Source organism: Homo sapiens, chromosome 22 (assembly GCF_000001405.40).
Source record: "Homo sapiens chromosome 22, GRCh38.p14 Primary Assembly".
NCBI lineage: Eukaryota > Metazoa > Chordata > Mammalia > Primates > Hominidae > Homo > Homo sapiens.
Window position 1 is genome coordinate 17,462,815 of NC_000022.11, and position 26,373 is coordinate 17,489,187.

Genomic DNA, 26,373 nt, shown 5'->3' on the forward strand with positions numbered 1-26,373 from the left:
AGGCAGAGAATTGCTTGAACCTGGGAGGTGGAGGTTGCAGTGAGCCAAGATCGTGTCACTGCCCTCCAGCCTGGGCAACAGATCGAGACTCCGTCTCAAAAAAATTTATTAAATACTCACTGTGGGCAAATACAATTTTGGGGAAACAGCCACAAACCCAAAGCAGACAAAGCTCCTCAAGGGGTTTGCTTAATAATGGTGGAAGACAGAAAATAAATGCATATAATCAATAGCTGGTAGGTTAGTTAGAAAAATAAAGCAGAGTAGAGGGACGAGACAGTGACTGGACCTATAGAAAGTGAGGGAGAGGCTATTCCAGGCAGAACCTAGTGCAGATGCCCCAGCCGGGAGTGCTGAGTGTATCTGAGGAGCAGGTAAGAGGCCAGTATGAGTTAGGGAGGTGATCAAGGATGAGAGTAGTGAGAAGCGATGTTAGCGTGTCAGCAGGAGGCTGACAGGTGAGGTCTTAGAGGTCATATAAACTTTGGATTTAGTTCTAAAGGAGACATTGGTACAAAGGGGTGGAATGCTCTGACTCACGTTTCGAAGGCTCACTAGCTGTTGATATGAGGAGCAGACAGAGAGAAGCAGGGAGTTTGGTGAGGAAGCTTTTAAATGGATGAAGCTCAGACAAATGGGCCATGGAGATGGTGTGAGAAGAGAGGGGTTTCTGAATCTCTTTTGAATATAGTCATCAGGATTTGTTAATTGACTAGATGTGAAAAGAGAGAAAAAGGGAAGAGTCAAGGATGCCTCAATTTTTTGCTGGAGAAATATGCCATTTACTGAGACTGGGGAGTTAGAGGGAATCAGGTTTGAAGAGGTGAGATCCAAAGCTCGGTTTGGTTCTGTTAAGTTTGCGCTGCCTGTTTGACATTCATTGCTGACGTCGGGGACGGGCACTGGGATAAGGGGACTCCGGAGTTGAGGAGAGGTGGGGGGGTGTAATGAGAGCCAGCCTAATCGATGGGATTTTGAGCCATGATGCTGAAAGAGCTATCAAGAGTCAGTGGGTGTAGAGCAGAAAGGGAAGCAAGAGCAGGGAAAAGAAGAGGTCCAAGGGGTGGTTCTCCAGCAGTAGAGTTGGAGGGCTAGGGTGAGGAAAACAGCAAAGATGGAAAAGAAATAGCAGTGCGGTGGTGGGTGGGTGTGTCCTGAAAGCCAGAGAAGAAATTATTTTAAGATAGAATCAACTTAAATGCTGCTTTTAAACTTAGTATGATGGAGGCTGAGAACCATTTGTTAAATTTGGCTTGGTTGCAGTACAATGGTGGGAATGAAAATTTGTTTGCATCACTAATACTGGCATTAAGATTTTGTATAGAAGTTTTTGTTACCATCTCTGAGGCTTCAGTCATTTTAATGAAGTTTCACTAGTGAACTGCTTCATCAGTTGAGACAGGTAATTGCTTAGGCAGGAATTTCTTCTCTTTAGGCCAACTGATGAAATTTCTTACTAGTATCAAGTTTAAAAAGGTGTCCACATAATTAAAAGAAAACTCCTAGTTCTTAAATTGTCAAAGAAGTGGCCATATTCTCCCTGCTGCTTATCTCTGACGAGTAGGGGTTTGACAGAGGGCATCTTTGCTCTGCCACCCCTCACTGTCTTGGCCCAATTCAGTTAATATTGGCAGCTACCAACATTTGTTATGCTTATTACATTTTTAAGGAATAAAAGTCTTTTTTTTCTTTTGAGGCAAGGTCTCTCTCTTCTCTGCTTGGTCGTTCAGACTGGAGTACAGCGGCATGCTCATAGCTCACTGCAGCCACAAACTCCTGGGCTCCAGCAGTCCTCCCTCTGCAGCCTCCTGAATAGCTTGGACTGCAGGCACGCACCACCATACCTAGCTAATTAAAAAAATTTCTTTGTAGAGATGAGATCTCACAAAGTTGCCAGGCTGGTCTTAAACTCCTCGACTCAAGCAGTCCTCCCACTTCAGTCCCCCAAAGCACTAGGATTACATCCATGAGCCATTGTGCCCAGTCCAGAACTTCCTTTTGAAGGAAAGTATTGATGTGCAGTTTTCGAGAGCACGTCAGCCTCTCTATTAAGTTTTTCAATGTACTTCTGATAGTATTTTCTGAAAATTTTTCTAAGTCACAATTTCTAATTCACTTGACAGTTGGGTATTTGACCTATAGGTAGGTGCACATTCATGATCATTAAAACATCAATATTTAAATTTTTTTTTTTTTTTTTGAGACGAAGTCTCGCTTTGTCGCCCAGGCTGGAGTGCAGTGGCGCGATCTCAGCTCACTGCAAGCCCCGCCTCCTGGGTTCACGCCATTCTCCTGCCTCAGCCTCCCGAGCAGCTGGGACTACAGGCGCCCACCACCACGCCCGGCTAAGTTTTTGTATTTTTAGTAAAGACGGGGTTTCACCGTGTTAGCCAGGATGGTCTTGATCTCCTGACCTCGTGATCCGCCCGCCTCGGCCTCCCAAAGTGCCGGGATTACAGGTGTGAGCCACTGCACCTGGCCAAATATTTCTATTTAAACTGTTTTTGTGTTTTATTTTGTTTTTTGTTTTTTTGAGACCTAGTCTCACTCTGTCTCCCAGGCTGGAGTACAGTGGCACAGTCTTGGCTTGCTGCAATCTCCACCTCCTGAGTTCAAGTGATTCTCATGCCTCAGCCTCCCTAGTAGCTGGGATTACAGGCATTCACCACCTGTTTTTTTCCTTTTTTTGAGACAGAGTCTTGCTCTGTCACCCAGGCTGGAATGCAGTAGTGCATTCTTGGCTCACTGCAACTTCCACCTCCTGGGTTCAAACGATTCTCCTGGCTCAACCTCCTGAGTAGCTGGGATTACAGGTGCGTGCCACCATGCCTGGCTAATTTTTGTATTTTTAGTAGAGACGGGGTTTCACCGTCTTGGCCAGGCTGGTCATGAACTCCTGACCTCGTGATCCCCCCGCCTCAGCCTCCCAAAGTGCCAGGATTACAGGCGTGAGCCATCACGCCCAGCCTAATTTTTGTATTCTTAGTAGAGACAGGGTTTTGCCATGTTGGTCAGGCAGGTCTTGAACTCCTGTCCTCAAGCAATCCACCTACCTCGTCCTCCCAAATTGCTGGGATTACAGGCATGAGCCACTGCACCCTGCCTAAAGTGATTTTAATAATGAGAATACAACACGTGTTATTGAATCCTCAGAGCATTTATTGAACATGGTAAAGTAACTACCCCCCGCTCCTTTATTTATTTATTTATTTATATTATTATTTTGAGACAGAGTCTTGCGCCATCACGCAGGCTGGAGCGCAGTGGTATGATCTCGTCGGCTCACTGCAACCTCCGCCTCCAGGGTTTAAATTTTTAGTAGAGACAGGGTTTCGCTATGTTGGCCAGGCTGGTCTTGAACTCCTGGTCTCCCAAAGTGGGAATACAGACATGAGCCAGAGCGCCTGGCCTTCCGCTCCTTTTAAAATGGATTCAATCAAGTGACCTCTGTAAAAATCCATAACCTGTATTGATTGAGGTTGGTTTCAGGCTATTTATTGTCGTTTCCCTCATTTCTTTAAGCAAATTTCTGTTACTCAAAATTAAAACAATTGAATGAGCATCTTAGAAGAAACTTTCTAAGCATTTGGATTCAAGGTAACTCTATTTTGTGAGAGAGAATTACACTGAAAACCCTTTATGTCAGCCCATAGTTTAGTTATCTGTAAAATGATGCCATTAATACCTACTTTGAAGAGTTTTGTGCAGAGTAAATAAGCCAAAGAATGGAAACCTGGTATCTGTCCCCAAGATGGTAACCACTATTGTTACTTAAAACCTTGCCTTTTTTTTTTTTTTGAGAAGGAGTCTTGCTCTGTTGCTCAGGCTGGAGTGCAGTGGCACTATCTCAGCTCACTTCAGCCTGCACCTCCCGGGTTCAAGCAATTCTCCTGCCTCAGCCTCCTGAGTAGATGGGATTACAGGCGCGTGCCACCATGCCTGGCTAATTTTTGTATTTTTAGTAGAGACAGGGTTTCACATGTTGGTCAGGCTGGTCTCGAACTCCTGACCTTGTGATCCTCCCGCCCCGGCCTTCCAAAGTGCAGGAATTACAGGCGTGAGCCACTGCACTTGGCCAAAACCTTTCATTTTTTTCCTTTACATTCAGTGTTTCTCTCTTCCTCGTTCCCGTATGTGCTTTTGCATGGCTATGCTGCAGTAACAAGCAGTCCTAGAAGCTCAGTACTTAGCAGCCACAGAAACATCGGGGGAGTGTTCATAAAGTTTTTCCAGATCAGCTGTTGACTCTGCGCTTTCTGTCTTCCTTCCGCTGTCTAGATTAAAGGAGCAGTTCCTATTTGGGATAAGGGGAAAATAGCTATACTTGAACAGTGTGATAATCTTTTAAGCTTCTGCTCAGAGGTGGCATATGTCACTTCACTCATATTTCATTGACCAGAACATTTTCATAAGCAAGCCATAGGAACAAGTCTGATGTCAGTGATGATGGGCAGCATAATCCTCTTATGAGAAGCCAGTGAACAATCGGAACACGTGTGAGATCTCTCTCAGCTGGGTGACTCGCTTTGAGGAACGTATCTGTAGATGCCATGAAACCCTTAGGACAGGACTTGGGTGAGCATCACAGTGATAACAAAGGGGAGGGACTGAGATCCAGTGCTTACTTCCCGAGCAGATTCCTCAATCTGGCTGATAATCAGATTCACCTGGGGCACTTTTTAAAAGGTCCCGGGTGCGGTGGCTCACACCTGTAATCCCAGCACTTTGGGAGGCCGAGGCTGGCAGATCACAAGGTCAGGAGTTCAAGACCAGCCTGGCCAACATGGTGAAACCCCGTCTCTACTAAAAATACAAAAATTAGTCGGGCATGGTGGCAGGTACCTGTAATCCCAGCTACTTGGGAGGCTGAGGCAGGAGAATCATTTGAACCTGGGAGGCGGAGGTTGCAGTGAGCTGAGATCATGCCATTGCACTCCAGCCTGCACAACAAAAGCAAAACTCAGTCTCAAAAAAAAGAAAGAAAGAGAGAGAGAGTGGAGACTAAACCAGTCCAAGGGAGCTGGCTTCTGCTTTCTCTTCTACACTACCCCATGGGTCATCAGAAAGAGAACTGCTGAGAATTCACACGATCTTTTGAGACCATGAGCTGATGTGAAATGTGTTCTGTTTTTGCATATATGGTCTGTATACTGTCCCAGAAACAGTTTCCTAGAAGACAGTCATTAGTTAGGTCCTTCTTGGTAGAAGGAGAGGGCAGTCGTCTTTTGTAGCCCCTTAAACGGGGCTTGTCTTTTGTTTTTGCTATGGAGGTACTTAAAATACAAAAGGTTTGTGGAAGATAACAGCAGGTGCCTGTGTTAAGAAAAAGGGATTTGTGGAAGAAAGGGGAGTATGCCCTTTGTTGTTGTTTAAGCATCTTACTGAAAATAAGTAATATGTGGGCTCATGTTTTGGGCTCTTTCAAGGTGTCTAAAAGGAAATGGGGATACTAGGGAATAAAAGAAAGTTGTTTCAGTCCCTGCCCCCTCATTTCTGTGTAATCTGTGTCTTGCTCTGTTGTGATTGTGTTCAAGTCACCAAGTCTGGCCCTCACCTTTGTAGGTTTAAGATGTTAACTATATTGCCCAGGTGTGGTGGCTCACGCCTGTAATCCCAGCACTTTGGGAGGCTGAGGCAGGAGGATTGTTTGAGGCCAGGAGTTGAAGACCAGCCTGAGCAACATAGTGAGATCCTGTCTCTACAAAAGATTTTTTTTTAATTAGCAGAGTTTGTTGGTGCATGCCTGTAGTCCCAGCTACTCAGAGGTTGATGTGGATCACTTGAACCTGGGAGGTCTAGGCTGCAATGAGATCATACCACTGCATTTCAGCCTGAGCGACAGAGCAAGAACCCTGTCTCTCCAAAAAACCAGCAACCCCCCGCCCCATGATGACCATAGGTCCCAAGTCTCAGAATTATATTTCATGTATTTAAAATTGGATATGTAACCGTCTTAGTCCATACTGTTTTGCCGTAACAAAATATCACAGACTGAGTAATTTATAAAGAAATGTATTTCTCGTAGTTCTTCAGACTGGGAAATTCAGTATCAGAGTGCCAGCATCTGGTGAGGGCTGTTGTGTGGCACCTTGTCATCCCATGGCGGGAGGCAGGAGGACAAGAGAAGGTGAGAGAAGTGGGCAAGATGGCAAAACTCACTTTCATAAGGAAATCACTTTCTTGATAACTACCCCACTCCCCAGATGGCATTAATCCATTCAGAGCCCTCCTGACCCAATCACCTCTTGTTAGTGATTATACAGAAAATTTTATGTACAATTTCAGTGTGTGTGTGTGTCTGTGAGTGTGGTAGGTTCCTGTGATTGAATCAATTCAATCAGCTCAGCATCTTATGGACCTGTGATAGTGGGAAGCTACACAAGCAGAAAGGCAGCTGTGGCATCTGAAGGCATACCATGTGCCAGGCTCTGTGTTATGTGCTGACCTCACCTCCCTACACTGTTGCATTGGGGATTAGTTTTCTAGTATTTGAATTTTGGGGGACACACTGAGACCAGCAGTACTTTTCATGGTCCTCACGTTTACCTGCCATTCAACACACACCACCCTTCTAATACTAGGAGTTGAGAATTAGAAGGGGAAGAATTAGTTTCGACGGGGTCATTTCTCCCAGGGCTGATAAAGTATTCTTGGCCCGCGACAGCGCGTCATCACTGTCTCTCCCCAAGCAGGGGGGATGATTACTGCCAGTTTTTATCTTGGGACCTCTTTCCCATGATGGACAGCATACAGCGCATCCTCTTTTGATGATAACATTGTTTTTTTTTTTTTTTTCCAGTAAGAATCCAGTTCTCTTTTCTTCATTATAATCCTACCCAGGCTGTTCCTAATTGTCCTACCTTTCCAGATTTCTTCTTGATTGGATTTCAAGCATATCTGGAAATCTTCATTCACACGTTCACCTTAGCATTTCTTCCTTGGCGGTGACCTGCATGTTGCTGGAGTCCTGTGCTGTTGCCCTCTTCTCTTGCATGCCTGCTGGCATTTCAGCTGGCCTTTCAGCTATTGCTGTCCTCATAGCAGCATGCCTCTGCCGTGGCGTCCATCACATTGCATGGAAAAGGTTACTGGTTTTTTGCCTGTCCTCCCTCCTAGATCTTTGCTATTTGAGGGCAGGGTCCTCTTTTTCTTCTTTGTGTCCCCAGCACATAACAGAGCCTGGCACATAGTATGCCTTCAGATGCCACAGCTGCCTTTCTGCTCGTGTGGCTTCCCACTATCACAGGTCCTAAGATGCTGAGCTGATTGAATTGATTCAATCACAGGAACCTACCACACTCAAAGACACACACACTGAAATTATATATAAAATTTTCTGTGGGCCAGGCATGGTGGCTCACGCATGTAATCCCAACACTTTGGGAGGCTGAGGCAGGCAGATCATTTGAGGTCAGGAGTTTGAAACCAGCCTGACCAACATGGTGAAACCCCATCTCTACTAAAAATAAAAAAAATAGCTGGGCATGGTGGTGCACGACTGTAGTCCCAGCTACTCGGGTGGCTGAAGCTGGAGAATTGCTTGAACTTAAGAGGTGGAGGTTGCAGAGACTCCGTCTCAAAAAAAAAAAAAAAAGAAAAAAAAATTCTGTCTATGCACATTTTCATTATTCTTACACAGGAGACCAGGACACAATCATGTAAGAGCAACCAGACCTAGAACATCGAAAGATGAAGTCCCACGTTAAACTTCTAGGACCTTATCTCTGGCATCACTCACCATCCCCCTACCTTTTATCTCCCCTATTTCTGTTTATCCGTTAAAGATACTATAATCTTTTCTTTTCCTGGACAGGATTAAAACTTAACTAAAATTTTCCTTGTCCGTTTTTCTCCACCTGCAGTTAGTTGCAAAACCCTTACTGACTGTGTGTCTGAAACTGTTCTTTCATAATTTCTTTCCATTTCCACTGTCATTTCTAGCACTGGCCCCGTCACCTCTTCCCAGACTAGACCAGGGTTCTTCTCACCCTCCAGTCTCTCTCCCTAACTAACAGTGTGTTCTGCAGACCACATCCAAATTAACCTTCCAAGTTTGATTATTCTTTCTTTTCTTTGTTCAAAAGTCTTTGGTGACTCCCCAGTACTTAACACAATTTCCAACTAATTCAGCAGTGATCTCCTAGTAGCAAGAGAATGATGACTCCAAACCTCAGAGGCCTGGAGCTGTATTCCAAAGCAGCTCTGAACATAAATTCTCTAATGACATCTCCCATTTTATCTGTAAGAGTCATGCAAGTATTTAAGGTAAAAATATCATCCCAAACAACAAGCAACAGCAATACAAAGTCAAAGTAAAACTCTAGGAACCTGTGCCATTTTTACCCTGTGGCTTTTTATATTCCAGCCACACACCGTGGAACCCAGGGAACACTCACATCCTAATTGGAAAATTGGGTCTAAGCGATGAAGTCCAGATGATTCCATCTGGTATCTGAGGCTGTCTGTGGTCAGCTGCGAACCTGCTTTTCCAGATTTTGTCTCTGGCCATGCTTGTCCAGTATACTAGTCACCTAGTATAATTGTTCTAGTCACCTAGGAAATTGTGTTAGGTACTGGAAGACACCAAAGACTTTTGAACAAAGAAAGGATAATCAAAATGGATTAAACAAACCTAGAGCATGTTGCATAGTTTCCAACTTTCGCAGTGCTCAGGAATTGTTAATATGAGTGTGGGGTTTTTTATTGTTGTTGTTGTTTGTTTGTTTGTTTGATTGTTTCTGAGACACTCTGGCTCTGTCGCCCAGGTTAGAATGCAGTGGGTGTGATCTCGGCTCACTGCAACCTCTGCCTCCCGGGTTCAGGCGATTCTCCTGCCTCAGCCTCCCCGGTAGTTGGGATTACAGGCACCCGCCACCACTCCTGGCTAATATTTGCATTTTAGTAGAGACAGGGTTTCACCATGTTGGCCAGGTGGGTCTCGAACTCCTGACCTCAGGTGATCCACCTGCCTCAGCCTCCCAAAGTGCTGGGATTACAGGTGTGAGCCACCACGCCTGGCCATATGGACATTTTTTATGGGAGAAGACTCATGGAACTTCTTCTTAGCCTTTTTTAACTTCTGGAGACAGTTTTAGTAATTCACACATTTTCAGAAAACCCTATTCTAGATTTACACATATATTGGTATAATTAGTATTTTCCAGTTAACCTAATATTTAGAGTTGTAGTCATATTTGAGGGGAGGAGCTATTTTGGTTTCCTTTCTGTGTTACTCAGCATCGAGCCAGTGACACAGCTGTTTGATGCAAGGCTGAGAGGAATGACATGGTTCCAGCAAAGCAGCAACACGGACCTGGCCAGCCTTTGGGGACTCCTGGGATCCATCTCTTGGCCAACTGAAAGTGTTATGTAGCTGGTTTCAGGTCCCTCACCATTATACCCACTTGAGCTGATTTATACTTTACAGTGTAAATTGGCATGGGGCATGCCTTTGGGATTAAATTAATTTATACCAAGTTAGAAAGCATCAGCTGTCAAAGTCAGGGGAGCCTTCTGGAGGCCAGTGTGCTTTTTTTCTTTCTGTATTCTGAGCCCACACTCCAGGCATTCTCTCTTGGATAGCAGCTGGGACAGTCCTTCAAGAGGCCTGCTTTGCATCTCCTTTGTGTCCTTGCGGTTCCGGGTCCTATACAGAAGATCTCTGTCCTTTGACAGAGATACTACGTAGTAGTTGGTCCCCGTGCAAATTAGGAAGATTTGTAACCCTCTTACATAAAATACAACAAACACGATTTTTTTTTCTTTAAACATTTTCCCCCTCCTTAAATACACTCAAAGGAATTACAGTGACCGAATGGCAGTAGTACAGATCTGTGATCTCGATCCTTAATCAGAAGTTGAAGAAAAGAGTTTCTCTTTACTACCTCTTTAGCAAAAGATTAATGAAAATTTATACAGGGATTAGAAACACATCAAACAAGAAAAGGTACCTGTAATGTTATTTAAGAAAAGTTGTGTTAAATGGGTTGGTAGGGTTACAATAAAGGCATTTAGCAATATCCTGCATATGTCACTTGACTGTCTCCAGTCTGGAAATTATCTTCGTGTATTAGGCAGGCAGGACTTGCCGAAGTGCAGAATGGTAAACTGCTTTTCTTAAGAGGTATGTAAAGGCCCTGTTTCTTCTGCTTGTTCCCGCTGCTGTGAGAGGTTGGGGCTAGTCCCCTTGCTCACTTCTGAGTTGTTTTCCCAGCAGCCACTGCACGGCTCGAAGGATTTGTCGTTGAGGGTGGAGAAGGTGGAAGGATGTTGAACAGACTTTTCCCTAATGAGCTGTGATGCCAGCTGCAAAGGCGGCAAATCCTGTTACTCCCTTCAGCTACTCTCTGAAGCTGCAGAGGGGCAGTGGTAACTGGTCTCCCTGCCCTATGCTGATTAGCTGCCTTTTCTGCTGTTTTTCCCCCCTTCCTCTTCTGTCCCAGAGCATCTTGGCAAAGTTCAGATTTCTGTGCTCACAGCTCAATGCTCACAGTGAAAAGGAAATACAAAAGAGGAGGAGAGAAAGTGAGAAGAAAAGAGAGAAAAGGTTGGGGTGGAGGTTTTTAGTAGAGTCCCTTATTGCCTTAGTCTAAGACTTAAGCTCTGGGTTGAAACCTTAAGTGGTAAAGCTTTGTAAGTAGTAACCTGGATTTCCAAATAGTTCTTGCAGATAGTTTTATTGGCACATGAACACAGCAGGCCATATATTAAAAGCATTTGAATTTCTATCGTTTAGAAACCTCCGAATTTTGAAAAGGACACTTCGCAGTTTTTCCACAAACTATCATTGTGAGGAAGATGAAATAATTGTAAGATAAATGTTTTCATGTGGCATTTACTGTGTGCCACTGCTTCATTTAATCATTACAACCCTTGAAAATAGACACTTTTAATGTGAAAAATAATTTATTGTAGTAAACACATTTTAAAGTGGTCAGTTCAGTAATATTAAGTAGATTCACATTGTTGTCAAAGAGATATCCAAAACTGTTTCGTCTTCCAAATGCCAGCCGCATATCTGAAACACCATACCCATTAAAATAATGGGGAAACATTTTAACTGATCAGCCAGCATTTTAACTGTTTGGCCATTTCTTTTGTTCTGCAGGATTAAAAATAGCTCTCCTGTTTCTTTCCTTGGCTGTTTTGATAGAACATTCTTCCTCTGTATTTCATCACAGGATGGTGAGACCAGGGCTTGTATTTACTGTGCCTTGGTTTATCCATTTGGTACTAACTGGGGGGGGTTTATAGTTACTAAAGGGAAAGAGAAAAGGCTTTACTCTCCAGGGGTTCGTCACCTATTCTTGGTTCTCATCTTTACTGATTCTGCATTTTAAGTTCTGCTGAGCTCCAGGGGTAAGTTCAGCAATGTCTTCATCACCTCACAAGTTAGCTTGGACCTGCAAATTTTTGGGTGGGTTTTCTGGGTGGCTTCTGACACAGTAAACATAATATCATAGAATTATATTTAAAAAGCAATTTTACATGTTGAACCCTGTTTTTAATGACTTCATGAGTTAGTTACTATATTCCAGGGATGGTGAAATGGGGAATATGGTAGGTAAGGGAGAAGAGTTGGAATATTTAATAAGTGACGCAGAGTTCCTCTCCCTATGTGTGTCCTTTGAGGGACCATTTAAGCCTATTCGATTCTCCTTGGAAGAGCTAGTCCAGCATCCCTGATATTCTACTTTCTATTGTGTTAGAAGAAAAGGCACTCCTGACATTATTGCTACAATGTAGAAAACTTGTCTTGCCTCCTTGGAGGATAGTATTCTAGCTAGAACCTAGGCAGCGCTGGTGAAAATGGCCATGATAAAGGCGGAAGCCAGAAGAGGATGTCTGTGTGCCGAAGGCGGAGATGGAGAAAAAGGTAATTAAATTTCTTGGAAACCACATAGTAAAAGTGATCCTCTAAGGAGATGCCACATGAACCATACGGCAAACTTTATGCAGTCACCTCCTTGAAAACACCCTCCCAGTTCTTAGCTTATCTTCTCAAATGTGGCCTTTGTTATTTATTTATTTCTGTAGAGATGGGGTCTCGCTATGTTCCTCAGGCTGGTCTTGAACTCCTGGCTTTAAGCAATCCTCCCATCTCAGCCTCCAGTGTTGCCTTTATTATTTAATTTGGTACTTCCATGCTTAAAAAAATCTTAGGAGAAATTAGTTAGTACAGACTGTAGCACCTTTAATCACGATCCGATTGTGCTCTTAGTTTATGATGGCAGGGAAGGGAACAGAACAGGACGTGTAGAAACCTGGGGATGCATGGACGCCACAGTGACAGTGAGCACTGGTGGGAGCAGCGTGGGGGAGCTTGGCTGGGAAGACTTTGCAGATAAAGTTTCTCCCGTAAAGAACTGCAGTACAGTTCAGCAGAGGGACGGGATTTCCACCTAGGGAGAATGGTACATGTGAGGGCTCTTAGAGAAAAGACACAGTGGTTGGGGCGGTCACTGTAATTGTAGAAACCATCAGGCCTTTCTAGAATGGAGAACATTGGCCGGGGGGAGCAGCTTGGTTTTGGGAAGAACACTGTACTCGGTGACCTGGGTTTCCACTCAGCTCTGTCACTGATTTGCTTAGTGCCCTTGGAGAAGCCAGTTAACCTTTCTGGACCTAGTTTATCTTGCTGTTGTTGTTTTTTCTCCCTTAAAAGAGACAGGGTCTTGCTGTGTGGCCCAGGCTGGTCTCAAACTCCTGGGCTCAGTGATCCTCCTACCTCAGCCTCCCAAGTGTCTGGGACTGTAGGCATGCACCACCACACCCGGCTAGTTTCTACATCTTTAAATTGAGAGAATGGAAATACGTGATCTGTAGTTTCATTTCCGGCTCTAGCTGATTCTGACTTACCTATCAAATGAGATTGGCCTGGGAGTTTTGGCTTTGAAGATTTTGCTTCTGTTGTAAGTCACTGGGAGGCTTGCCCAGTGCCCAGCTTAAAACATGAGCCATTCAAGTCTTCCCTCGCCTCGGCTGGCCTTTACTTGTGGCAGATCTTGAATTCCTATTTCTCCGTTCTCTCATTTAGTAAGTCCTTTAGAACCTTCCTCTTGTGCTGTTGCTTGGGCTAACATCTCCCCTCCCACCCTCTACCACTAGAATTCCTTGTATATACACAGCAGCTAGATTAGTCTCACTTTGCCTCTCTATAGAAATAAACTGAGGTAGATCTCCATTGTCTCCCGAAGAAAGGCCAAACTCATTAGCTGGGTATTCAGGATCGCCTGTCAATCTCAGCTCACATTACTCCCCTTCACATAATCTAAAGAATAGTTAAACTGAACCTAATATCCTCCTGCACCTGGTCATGCCCTGCCTCTCTCCATTGTCACTCGGTCACAATTACCATCTCACGAAATCTCCCAGGCTTCCACAGCAGAAGTAACCCTTTTCTTCTCAGCTCCCATAGCGTGTTTTCTGTACCTGCTAGTACTGATTGATTTGTGTTTTTTGTTTGTTTGAGACAGTGTCTCACTCTGTCGCCCAGGCTGGAGTACGCTGGCACGATCTCATTTCACTGCAATCTCTGCCTCCTGGTTTCAAGCGATTCTTGTGTCTCAGCCTTAGTAGCTGGGATCACAGGTGCGTGCCACCATGCCTGGCTAATTTTTGTATTTGTAGTAGAGACAGGGTATGACCATGTTGGCTAGACTGGTCTCAATCTCTTGACCTCAAGTGAGCCACCATGCCTGGCCAGAGCCGTATTATTTCTATATAAGAAGGAAACCCCACCCCGTTTTGTGTCTGCTATCATGTAATTGCTGTTAAGATCACAACTTGCATCTTATGCACATCTCGTACTTTTCAGAACCGTTAATAAGATTGTCAGAAGTTTGGTTTTTCTGGGGATTACTGATCTGGTTATGAGCAAGTCAAACCATAGGGAGCAGACTCTTGGGAAATGGTTTGCATGCAGAAGATTGCATCCTGGTTGAAAGAATGTGGGCAAACTTTTCTAGTAGGAGACTTGATGGCCTAGAAAACATTCTGTCATCTAAGAAAATACCTGCTTATTTTGGGGGTGTTGGGAAGGGAAATAGGATCTCCTAAAGTTCCCCACCACCACTTTTTGTCCAGTGGTCCCTTTCCAAACAATTGCTTGTTGGAATACCGTGTCGAGGCAAGCTGAACCCCAAGGAAAGCAAAGACATTCACAGAGACGTTACCTCATTCTGTTTAGATGATGTAAGATTAGCCTTGGATCTCGCAATCACCTTTCATCAGCCATGTAGGTGTGGCATCCCAAAATAAAAATTGTCATTATCACTTACTAACAAATGCCATTCAAAATACAGTGGTTCTTTAAAGCTGTTGCAGATGGTTTATCTCTTGAGAAGGTTGAGTAAATGACAAATGTTTCATAAACAATTACATGAGCACTCCTTTCCTCTCTTTTGCGATTAAAATAGCAGTACAGCACATTTGTATTTATACTCGATTATATATAATCAAAGAGTTAAGCTCTTTAATTATGCAGCTAGCATTGATTTATCAAAAAGAGTTATGTGTGTTTCTTCTCATGTGCCGGTAAGAGGAATGGGGTTGGGGAGGGAGTAGTGAGAGAAATAAAACCCTGGGAAAAAGAAAACGCGGAATCCGGTTGCTCTTCTCACAGTAGCCAGAAGGAAGGGCAGAGCTGATCTCTGGCAAGTCCTTCCGCTGCTGGGACCATTCAGTTCTTGGGGCTTGTGCTGGCGGTAGGAAGGGGTGTGTATTTTAAGAAATCTCTGTTTGATTTCTCAACTTCCCTCTCTCCCTCCCTCAGGAGTTAGAAGCCGCTCTTCACAGAGATGACGTGGAGTTTATCAGTGACCTGATTGCCTGCCTGCTTCAGGGCTGCTATCAACGAAGAGATATCACGTGAGTAATTCTGATCTTTCTAAGCATTTCTTGCGCCAAGAACTAATTAACCAACCATAGTGATGTTTCCTGTCTCCTGTGACAAACCAGAACCGATCATTAGGCATCACGGGACACTGTAGATGGAGGACGTACACGTAAATTTCCAGGCTGTGTTTGGCTTATTCTGCAGTTGGGTTTTTATTCCATCATAATCTTTGAGTTTATTTCATTCTCACAAATCCATATCACTTACTCTTGGATACCCCAGCTAACATATTTTAGTGTAGAATTTCTTCTTATATTTGCCATTTTCTGATTTTGCAGTATTGGTAAAGTATTGCCTAAGAAATCAAAACTAGTTTTTATTACCTTTCTGTCATTTGAGTATCTTCTGTTGTTTACATAGCCAGCAGCACTGATGTAATAAAAAAAAAAGAGAGATGTGTAGAGACATTGAGCAAAATGTGATGTATGGAGACAAATAAAGGAGAGTCCTGATAGGACCTCTTGTTTTGATCTTTACTTAATACACGTTTCTTTGCTATGTGTCTATATAGGACAGAACTACAGGGCAAACTCACAAAAAGGTGAGATGCAATGGGTTTCCTGGTCTCTTGCCTTCTGATGCCATGTAGGGGGTTTGAGTTGTTATGGTTTGCCTTTCTCAGATAGGTAAAATGGTATCAAATTTTTTTTTTTTTTTTTTTTTGAGACGGAGTCTCACTCTGTCGCCCAGGCTGGAGTGCAGTGGCGCAATCCCGGCTCACTGCAAGCTTCACCTCCCAGGTTCACGCCATTCTCCTGCCTCAGCCTCTCGAGTAGCTGGGACTACAGGCACTCGCCACCACGCCCGGCTAATTTTTTGTATTTTTAGTGGAAATGGGGTTTCACCGTGTTAGCCAGGATGGTCTCGATCTCCCGACCTCGTGATCTGCCCGCCTCGACCTCACAAAGTGCTGGGATTACAGGCGTGAGCCACCGCGCCTGGCCAAGTATCAGATATTTTTGTTCTAACGAATTCAGTCTGTTAGGGCTGGGAAACGATGCTTGTTGTTAATGTGCAATAAAGTTGTAGACAAGGTAAGAAGGAGATGTAAATGCTGTTTTTCTCAGGGTGGAAGTCTGCATTCTCTAGGGGAGAGTTATTGCTCGTGCACTAAGTATAATGACTTTTCCCCCTAGAATACCCAGGTTGTATTTGTAAATAAAAATAAACATAAAATATACCTTAGAATATTTTCTTCCGTTCTCTATTTAGGATGTAGACTTGGGAGTTTGTAATTTTTAAGCACTGTTGTATTCGTACCTTGTGTTTAATTCCACATTTTCATAACCTGGAATTTTTTTTCATTATAGCAATCAGTTTTCTTATAACCACATTTTCTAAATGTCATTGTCAAATAATCCAGTCTGGTAGCTGACAAGTTATGTCTAGCTTTTAGCTGTTATAAACATATATAATGCATAGCTTTGTACAAAATTCACCAGGTTCCTGGAAGTACATCACTCAGTCAAAAGATATGCCCATTTAAGATCTTCATTTTAAGCAAGGCTTAAAGGCTTTTGCCAGGTTTCCCGTCACAGAGGTGGTTGTATTTTAGCCTTAAATGATCAGTGCGTGAGAGTGTCTGCTTGGATGATCCTTGTGAGCCCTCTGTACACAGACTAGTAGGTACTGGCAGCACAAACACTCACCAGATCTCTTAGAGTTCACAGTTGTGACAGGGAGGTCCATGAATCATTACAGTAATGATTATATAGTTGCCAGTTATGTAATTACAACAGTAAGTGCTTAGAAATAAAAATACAACATATTAACAGAGCATACAACCTGGGGTAAGAAAGTGACTTGTGAACTGAGCCTTCACATATGGGCTGTTTTCTCTCATAGGATATTCCTCCGTGGCTGAGTTCATCCTCTAATTTGTCCTTCTGTTTAAAATTGATCTTAACTAATTCTGCTTGTTTGTTCTTCCAGATAGTGGTTACAAAGTTATGTCCTGTTCTTTAAGAACTCCCCTTATCTAATCATTCTAACTAGAATCAAATAAACCTATGAAGAAATGTGGGCAAAATTGACATCCCTACAATGTGGTCTTTCTTTTTTTTTTTTTTTTTTTTGGGACAGGGTCTTGCTGTTTCACCCAGGCTGGAGTGCAGTGGCAGGATCCTGTCTCACTGTAGCCTCAACCTGGGCTCTAGCAGTCTTCCCACCTCAGCCTCCTGAGTAGCTCAGGACAGGACTGTGCCACCATCCCCAGCTGATTTTTAACAATTTTTTGTAGAGACAAGGTCTGTGTTCCCTGGCTGGTCTTGAACTCCTGGTCTCAAGCGATCCTGCTGCCTTGGCCTCTCAAAGTGCTGGGATTACAGGTGTGAGCCACTGTGCCTTGCCCCTACAAGTATTTATTAAATAATAGAATACCGTATCCCTGTATCTGTCTTTAATTTGCAGAGTTTATTGGCCTTGATTTTTTTCTTGAGTTAGTATTCTTTTGACTCTCTAGGATTATTATCTATCTCTTTTTTCAGTGTTAATACTGATGTCTGCTTCAAGCTGTATTATCCATTGTTAAGTAACAAATTACCCTAAAACTTAGCAACTTAAAACCACAAAAAGTGTAATCTTACAGTTTCTGTGGGTCAGGAACCTGGACAAACCACTACTGGTGTGTTTAGCTCGAGTTAGCTTACAGGTCTGTGATCAAGGTACCAGTGACAGCAGTCATCTTGAAACTTACTACTCATGTATAATACACACACACACACACACACACACACACACACACACACACAGAGAAAAGTGCTCATTTCCTAATTCTAAAGCTCAATGAATTTTCACAAACTGAACACACCTGTGTAACAGAGAACCTGGACAAGAAAGAACACTACAATCTACTTTACTTTTTTCCCTGAAGGGAATTGCCTAAAATGATGGTTCCACATGCGGTTACTGTGAATGTACACTCGTTCTTGTCTGAAGTTCTACTTTGATCTCATTCTAAAGAAAGAGAAATTTGGATAAGTAAATGTTTACCTGTTATGCCTCCAAGACTAAACTGTTCTATGCAGCTTAAAAAGTTACTTAATTTCGGCCGGGCGCAGTGGCTCATGCCTATAATCTCAGCACTTTGGGAGGCCGAGACGGGCAGATCACTTGAGGTCGGGAGTTCAAGAGCAGTCTGGCCAATGTGATGAAACCCGGTCTCTACTAAAAATACAAAAATTAGCCAGGCGTGGTGGTGCACGCCTGTAGTCCCAGCTACTCAGGAGGCTGAGATGGGAGAATTGCTTCAACCCGGGAGGCGGAGGTTGCAGTGAGCCAAGATCGCACCATTGCACTCCAGCGTGGGCGAAAGAGTGAGACTCCATCTCTTTTTTTTTTAAAAAAAAAAAAGGCCGGGCACGGTGCCTCACGCCTGTAATCCCAGCACTTTGGGAGGTGGAGGCGGGCAGATCACGAGGTCAGGAAATCAAGACCATCCTGGCTAACACGGTGAAACCCCGTCTCTACTAAAAATACAAAAAATTAGCCGGGCGTGGTGGTGGGCGCCTGTAGTCCCAGCTACTTGGGAGGCTGAGGCATGAGAATGGCGTGAACCCGGGAGGTGGAGGTTGCAGTGAGCCAAGATCGTGTCATTGCACTCCAGCCTGGGTGACAGAGCGAGACTCTGTCTCAAAAAAAAAAAAAAAAAAAAAGTAACTTCATTTAGTTGTGCATAATTCGCCTCATCTATAAAATGGAATTAGTGACAATATTCAGTAAAGTTATTATGAGGATTAAACGAAATGATGAGTGAGAGTAATCATCATGAAACACTATGCCTAGTTCCTCCAAAGGCTCAGCAGAAAACAGATTTTGACTCAACCAAGTGTCTGTATCCTTTTCCGTTGTGGTTTGCATGTTTTAGAACAGGGGCCAGCAAATGTTTTTTGTAAAGGGCCAGATAGTCAATACAGGCATGCATCACATACTGTCATTTTGTTCAGTGGCAGACCTCATGTACGACAGTGGTCACACGAGGTTGTGATAGACACAAAAATTTTTATCCCCTAGAGATATTATTGCCCTTGTAACATGCTTGCACATGCATTACTCATGTGGTTATGGTGATGCTGGTGTAAACAAACCTAGTGCGCTACCAGTCATATAAAGACCTAGCACTTACAGGCCAGGCGTGGTGGCTCACGCCTGTAATCCTAGCACTTTGGGAGGCCGAGGCGGGCGGATCACCAGGTCAGGAGATCAAGACCATCCTGGCTAACACAGTGAAACCCCATCTCTACTAAAGATACAAAAAAGTAGCCGGGCGTGGTGGCGGCACCTGTAGTCCCAGCTACTCGGGAGACTGAGGCAGGAGAATGGCATGAACCTGGGAGGCGGAGCTTGCAGGAAGCCGAGATCACGCCACTGCTCTCCAGCCTGGGTGACAGATCGAGACTCTGTCTCCAAAAAAAAAAAAAAAAAAAAAAAAAAGGGCGTGGCATGGTGACTCACGCCTGCAATCCCAGCACTTTGGGAGGCTGAGGCAGGTGGATCACAAGGTCAGAAGATCGAGACCATCCTGGCTAACATGGTGAAACCCCGTCTCTACTAAAAATACAAAAAATTAGCCGGGCGTGGTGGCAGGTGCCTGTAGTCCCAGCTACTCGGGAGGCTGAGGCAGGAGAATGGCGTGAACCCAGGAGGCAGAGCTTGCAGTGAGCCAAGATCATGCCACCGTACTCCAGCCTGGGCGACAGAGCGAGACAAGACATAGCATATACCGTCATGTACACTACATAATAGTTGATAGTAAACAACTCTTACTGGTTTCTGTATTTACTGTGCCGTACTTTAAATCATTATTTTAGAGTGTATTCCTTCTAGTTTTGTTTAGTTTTTTTGACACGGGGTCTCACTCTGGCACCCAGGCTGGAGTGCAGTGGTGCAGTCTTGGCTCCCTGCAATCTCCACCTCCTGGTCTCAAACGATCTTCCCACTTCAGCCTCCCAAGTAGCTGGGACTCCAGGCGTGCACCACCAGGCCCATCTAATTTCTTTATTTTGGGGTAGAGGTAGGGTTTCATCATGTTGGCCATGATGGTTTTGAACTCCTTTTTTTTTTTTTTTTTTGAGACGGTGTCCTGCCTCAGCCTCCCCAGCAGCTGGGACTACAGGTGCCCACCACCACACCTTGCTACTTTTTTTGTATTTTTAGTAGAGACGGAGTTTCACCGCATTAGCCAGGATGGTCTCGATCTCCTGACCTCGTGATCCTCCCACCTTGGCCTCCCAAAGTGCTGGGATTACAGGCGTGAGCCACCGCGCCCAGCCTAGTTATTTTTAAAAAGTTAACTATAATATACAACAGCCTCAGGCGGTCCTTCAGAAGAGATTCCAGAAGAAGGCATTGTTACAGGAGATGACAGCACCGTGCATGTTACTGCCTTGAAGACGTTCCAGTGGGACAAGATGTCGAGGTGGAAGACAGTAATATTGATGATCCTGACCCTGTGTCGGCCTAGGCCGATGTGTGTGTTTTTGTCTTCCTTTTGAACAAAACAGATCAAATGTAAAAAACAAAAAATTTCAACAATAGAAAACAGCTTATAGAATAAGGATATAAAGAAGGCCGCCACACAGTGGCTCATGCCTGTAATCCCAGCACTCTGGGAGGATGAGGTGAGAGGACGGTTTGAGGCCAGGAGTTCGAGACCAGCCTGGGCAACATAGCAAGACTCCGTCTCTACTAAAAAATAAAAATAAATGAATTAGCTGGGCAATATAGCAAGACCCCTGTCTCTACTAAAAAAATTAAAATAATTATCTGGACATGGTGGTGCATGCATGTAGTCTAAGCTACTAGGGAGGTTGAGGTGGGAGGATCAGGAGTTGGAGGCTGCAGTGAGCTACGGTCCCTACTGCACTCTAGCTGTGGCTACAGAGCAGAAAAAAAAAGAAAAAAATATTTTTGTATAGCTCTAAAAAGTGTTTTAGGCTGTTATTACAAAAGAATCAAAAAGTTAAAAGTTTGTGAATTTTTAAATGTCATAGTAAGCTAAATTTATTATTGAAGGAAAGGTTTTTTTTAAAATAAACATAGTATAGCCTAAGTTTACAGCATTTAGAAAGTTTACAGTGATGTACAGTCATGTGCCAAGCCTTCACATTCATTTACTACTCAGTTACTGATTCACCCAGAGCAACTTTAGTTCTGCAAGCTGCACTCATGACAAGTGCTTTATACAGATACACCATTTTAAAAATCTTTTGTACCATGTCCTTACTATACCTTTTCTATGTTTAGATGTGTCTGGATCCACAAATCCTTAACATTCCATTACAGTGGCTTACAGTATTCAGTACAGTCAGGTGCAGTATAGGTTTGTAGCCTAGGAGCAGTGGGCTATGCCATATAGTCTAGGTGTGTAGTAGGCTCTACCATCTAGGTTTATGTAAATACACTATGATGTTTCCACAGCAACAGAATCACCTAACCATGCCTTTCTTAGAACATATCCTTTATGTTAAGCAATGCGTGGCTATTTTAGGCCCTCACTTGCAACAGAGTCTCACTCTGTTCCCCAGGCTGGAGTGCATTCGACCAATCCTAACCCATTGCAGCCTCAAACTTCTAGATTCAAGCAATCTTCCTGCCTCAGCCTCCTGATCCTGAGGAACTAGTGTTACAGGTGCACACCCACCTTGTATTTTAGGCTCTGTGTTGCAGGTAATCAGCTCTGTCACTATGAAAGCAGCCATAGGCAATACAGAAAAACCAATAGTGACTGTGTCTTATTAGAACTTTCTAATCACTGAGGTTTGACTTTTGTATCATTTTCACCTGCCAGGAAAGACTGTTTTTCTGTTGTTGTTTTTTTTAATTTTTTTTCCCCACCATTAAAAAATATAAAAACCATTATTATAGACTGTTTTTTGTTTGTTTGTTTGTTTTGTTTTGTTTTTAAAGGAGGTCTGGCGCAACGTCTCAAGCCTGTAATCCCAGCACTTTGGGAGGCCAAGGTGGGCGGATCACTTGAGGTCAGGAGTTCGAGACCACGTCTCTACTAAAAATTCAAAAATTAGCCGGGTGTATTGGCACACGCCTGTAGTCCCAGCTACTCTGTAGGCTGAGGCATGAGAATTGCTTGAACCTGGAAGGCAGAGGTTGCAGTGAGCCGAGATCATGCCACAGCACTCCAGCCTCTGCGACAGAGCGAAAGTGTGTCTCAACAAAAAAGGACATCAGGCCAGATTTGGCCCTCGGGCTATAATTTTCCGACTCCTGTATTTAGGAAGCTAGTTAACTATTCCAGTTCCACTGACTCAATCTAATCTTTAAAATTGAAATATAGAAGCCACATTTCCTTTCAACCGTACTCTCCAACCTGAGGTTTTTGCACTTACAGGACAGCATAACACTGTCTACTCATGGAAATGATACTGGCCAGCATGTCCTATGTCCTGGACGCTGCCAACTGCTTCTCAAGAACACTCATTTAATCCTTCCGACAGCCCTCTAATAGAAAGTCCTCTCCCATCCTTCCATCAGGGATGAGGAATTTGAGGCACAGAGAAGTTAAATAAATTGCCCAAGGTTACACAGCTGGTAATTGAGACAGTACAGATCTGTTTCCTAGACCTCCGACTCCTAACTGCAGCCCCGTGCTGTCAATGAGAAGTACAGGAGAAAAGTGTTAAGTAAAACAGTTTTCCTTGAAAACAGGATTTTTAACTCTTTGACATACTAAGGAAGCCTGTGAACCCCATCTAAAAATAATGTTTTGAAATCATAAGATTACACCCGAACCCAATTATACTGAAAAGTAGTGAAGTATTGGCCGGGCGTGGTGGCTCACGCCTGTAATCTCAACACTCTTGGGAGGCCGAGGCAGGCCGCTCACATGAACTCAGGAGTTCGAGACCAGCCTGGGCAACATGGTGAAACCCCGGCTCTACAAAAAGTATTATACAAAAATTAGTGGGGTACAGTGGCGCACACCTGTAGTCCCAGGTACTCGGGAGGCTGAGGCAGGAGAATCAGTGGAGCCCAGGAGGCGGAGGTTGCAGTGGAGATGGTGCCACTGCACTCCAGCCTGGGTAGCAGAGTGAGACCCTGTCTCCAAAAAAGAAAAGAAAGTAAAGTATTGAAGAATGAAATTTTTGATATAGTTAGTGTTGTATTCATCTAACAGCAGAGCTAATTTCCCAAAATTACTGTCTTCAGATCTCAGTGAGCATAAGTGCTATTTGGAAATATCTGCAGTATCTATATGATTTCAGTAGAAATCAGTTATTTCTGTGGACCTCTGCTTTAAAACGTGGGTTTTGTTTGTTCTGTTTTTGTTTTGAAGACGAGATCTCACTCTTCAGCGCAGTCTTGAGTGCTGTGGCGCAGTCATAGCTGACTGCAGCCTCCAACTCCTGGGCTCAAGCCATCTTCTCACCTCAGCCTCCTAAGTAGCTGAGATGACAGGCAGGCACCACCGTGCCCATCTAAAAGGGTTTTTAAATCCTAGATTGATCTGCAGTTCATAGTCAACAACTTAGACGTAAAAGGAACCTCATCATCAAGTACAGTTTATTTTTTTACCTGAGGAAGCGAAGGCAAAACAAAACTGGTATAAGCCTGAGAGACATCGAGAATAAAGTCTCAATTCAAATGATTTTTTCAGGAATTTGTTCATTTTGTTGCCAAAATAAAGTGGTATAAAGTGGTATTTTCCTGGGTGTAAGGCGTGGGGCTGGACTCCGAGGAGGCCCCCGTGATGCTGTGGAACCCTGTGTGCCTGTATGTGACACGCCACTGGGGGCGTGTCAGTCACATGCTAGTGTTCACTGTCACACTCTGGGGACGCCCCTTGCGGCTTGGATGAAGCGTCAGCCACTGGGAAAGCCCACATGGCTGGGAACGCGGGTGGCCTTGAGGAGCTGAGGGCAAGCCTTACTACAGCTGTGCATTCTCCCCAGGAAAAACTAGGCCATTAGAAAGAATGTTAGGCAAATAATGCAAGTCACAGAAGCATACACACCAGTGACTTATTAAGTGTAAGGCAAGGAGAACCAAATAAGGATACATATATATGGAAAACTTACGAAGAAGATCAAGTGAAAGCTTATCGCAATTCAGGAAAGTTATCATACCTGGTGAGCAGGGAGAAGACAGAAGGTATGAATAAGCGCGAGTGGTGATTCTCCAGCCTTACCACACAATCACCTAAGGGTGGTTACAACACAAATCGCTGGGCCTCACCAGCGTTTCATTCCGTAGGCTTGGGCTGGGGCCTGGGAACCTGCATGCTGTGCAAGTTCTGGGTGGTGCTGATGCTGCACGCTGCTGGTCCAGGACTTCGCTGGAAGGTCACTAATCTAAGGCATTGCTCACTTTCTGTTTTTCAGCTCGATGGTGAAATGTGGATTCTTCATTTTTGACAATTCTTTGCCTTTCTCTTTCAATATAAAACTTAAGCAGAGTTTTGATTTGATGCTAACACGTTCTTTGCAACACTACATACTTTTTCTTCTATATTCTCCCTGGAATTGCAAATCTGGTCAGTGGGTTTTATGGTCCTGTATCAATAAAAATACTTTAGGAATTTAACTAGTGGCTCTTTCAGCACTTTTGTTTTCCACTGGGAAGTAACCTGGCAAATTGAGCACTGGGTGGAAAATAGGAACTTCTGATTTGCTCTTCACTGTCAAAGTAAAGCTACGATTGAATCAAACTGTGTTTTGAGCTACGGTTTAAGCAGCGTAAAAATATTTTTCATTGGTTGGGCGCGGTGGCTCATGCCTGTAATCCCAGCACTTTGGGAGGCCGAGGCGGGTGGATCACTAGGTCAGGAGATAGAGACCATCCTGGCTAACGCGGTGAAACCCCGTCTGTACTTAAAAAATATAAAAAATCAGCCGGGTTTGGTAGCGAGCGCCTGTAGTCCCAGCTACTGAGGCAGGAGAGTGGTGTGAACCCGGGAGGCAGAGCTTGCAGTGAGCCGAGATCGCGCCATGCACAAGCCTGGGTGTCTCAAAAAAATTTTTTTCATTAAATACTCATGATGATAATACTTACTGCTAAAATGTTTTTCCTTTTGTCCGTACATCTTTAGTAGAGTGCTCTTTATAGAACGCAGACTGATTTGTGCTTCAGTATGGTCTTCACCCACTGTCCTGTGGCTTACACTCTTAAACGGTAATTCATCAACATTGTATATTCAATTTTTCATGTATTTATTTATTTATTTATTTATTTATTTTGAGAGAAGTCTCGCTCTTGTCCCCCAGGTTTGAGTGCAATGGCCTGATCTCGACTCACTGCAACCTCCACCTCCTGGGTTCAAATGATTCTTCTGCCTCTGCCTCCCAAGTAGCTGGGATTAAGGCACCCACCATCATGCCCGGCTAATTTTTGTATTTTTAGTAGAGACAGCGTTTCACCATGTTGACCAGGCTGGTCTCAAACTCCTGACCTCAGGTGATCTGCCCCCCCTTGGCCTCCCAAAGTGCTGGGATTACAGGCGTGAGCCACCGCACCCGGCCTCATTTAATTTTTAATTATGGATCTAGCATTGCGTAATAGATTCCCTAATTTAGATCCCTTATAAACAAACATTTAGTGTTTTGGGTTCTCTTTACAGAAATATCTGTCATCTTTTTGGAAATGACAATACTTCTGTTAAGTACGTTCATCGTGTCTTTTTTAACATAGGCCAGTGTTTTGTAACAAATGAGGGCACCACATAGTCACTATCCTACTGAAGAAAATAGACATTTCTGTCTTCCCAGAAAGTTTCCTTTGTAGTCAGTCTTCCCCATACCTACATTGTACACCTGGCAACCACTGACGACATTTTTATCACTATAGTTGGAGCCTAACCTGTTCTAGAACTGTATGAATGGGATCACACAGTGTGAAATGAACTCACATCAGCTTCTTTCATTCACATAGTGCCTGTATGATATTCACCCATGCCATTGTTTGTATCAGTGGTTTATTCCTTTGAGGGGGGTGGGGGACTAAATTGTATCTAGTGAAAAATATATCACAATTTATTGAATCTGTTCTTGGGATGAGCACTTAGGTTGCTTCCAGTTGGAGCCTATTATGAATGAAGCTGCTGTGAACATTTGCATACAAATGCTTGTGTGCACTTAATTTCATTTCTCTTGGGAATTGCTGGCGGGTCACATGGTAAAAGTATGTTTGACTTAAACTGTGAAATTATTTTCCAAACACTTGCAACATTTACGTTTCCACCAGCAATATCTGAACAGTCCAGTTGCTTCATATCTTTTTAAATTTTTATTTACTTATTTATTTGTTTGAGACAAGAGTTTTGCTCTTTTTGCCCAGGCTGGAGTGCAATGGTGCTATCTCTGCTCACTGCAACCTCCACCTCAAGTGATTCTCCTGCCTCAGCCTCCCAAGTAGCTGGGATTACAGGCATGCGCCAGCTAATTTTTTGTATTTAGTAGAGACGGGGTTTCACCATGTTAATCAAGCTGGTCTTGAACTCCTGACCTCAGGTGATCACCCGCCTCGGC

At 43.8% G+C, this 26,373-nt stretch overlaps 1 protein-coding gene across 12 annotated transcripts in view, besides 2 other annotated features; it reads left to right on the forward strand.

Annotated features, from left to right (window-relative positions):
* Positions 1 to 26,373, forward strand: part of CECR2 (CECR2 histone acetyl-lysine reader) — a 198,203-nt gene that overhangs the window by 102,866 nt on the left and 68,964 nt on the right. For 10 of the 12 annotated variants that reach the window (NM_001290046.2, NM_001290047.2, XM_017028785.2 and 7 more), the window contains exon 2: positions 14,774 to 14,868. Coding sequence is in view for 11 of the 12 variants with exons in the window: in NM_001290047.2 (NP_001276976.1) it covers positions 14,774 to 14,868 (95 nt within the window). In the remaining variant the exon portion in view is untranslated. Of the gene's footprint in view, positions 1 to 5,798; positions 11,876 to 14,773; positions 14,869 to 26,373 lie in introns of those variants that run through there. The other 2 variants (XM_024452234.2, XM_047441344.1) reach the window with 2 other exon arrangements.
* Positions 2,553 to 3,311: an enhancer, noted in NCBI's record as "H3K4me1 hESC enhancer chr22:17944405-17945163 (GRCh37/hg19 assembly coordinates)". NCBI's record gives its function as "activates a minimal SCP1, AML or CMV promoter by ChIP-STARR-seq in naive H9 embryonic stem cells {active_cell/tissue: H9 hESC(naive)}" and the evidence as "EXISTENCE:reporter gene assay evidence [ECO:0000049][PMID:30033119]".
* Positions 12,854 to 13,407: an enhancer, noted in NCBI's record as "H3K27ac hESC enhancer chr22:17954710-17955263 (GRCh37/hg19 assembly coordinates)". NCBI's record gives its function as "activates a minimal SCP1, AML or CMV promoter by ChIP-STARR-seq in naive H9 embryonic stem cells {active_cell/tissue: H9 hESC(naive)}" and the evidence as "EXISTENCE:reporter gene assay evidence [ECO:0000049][PMID:30033119]".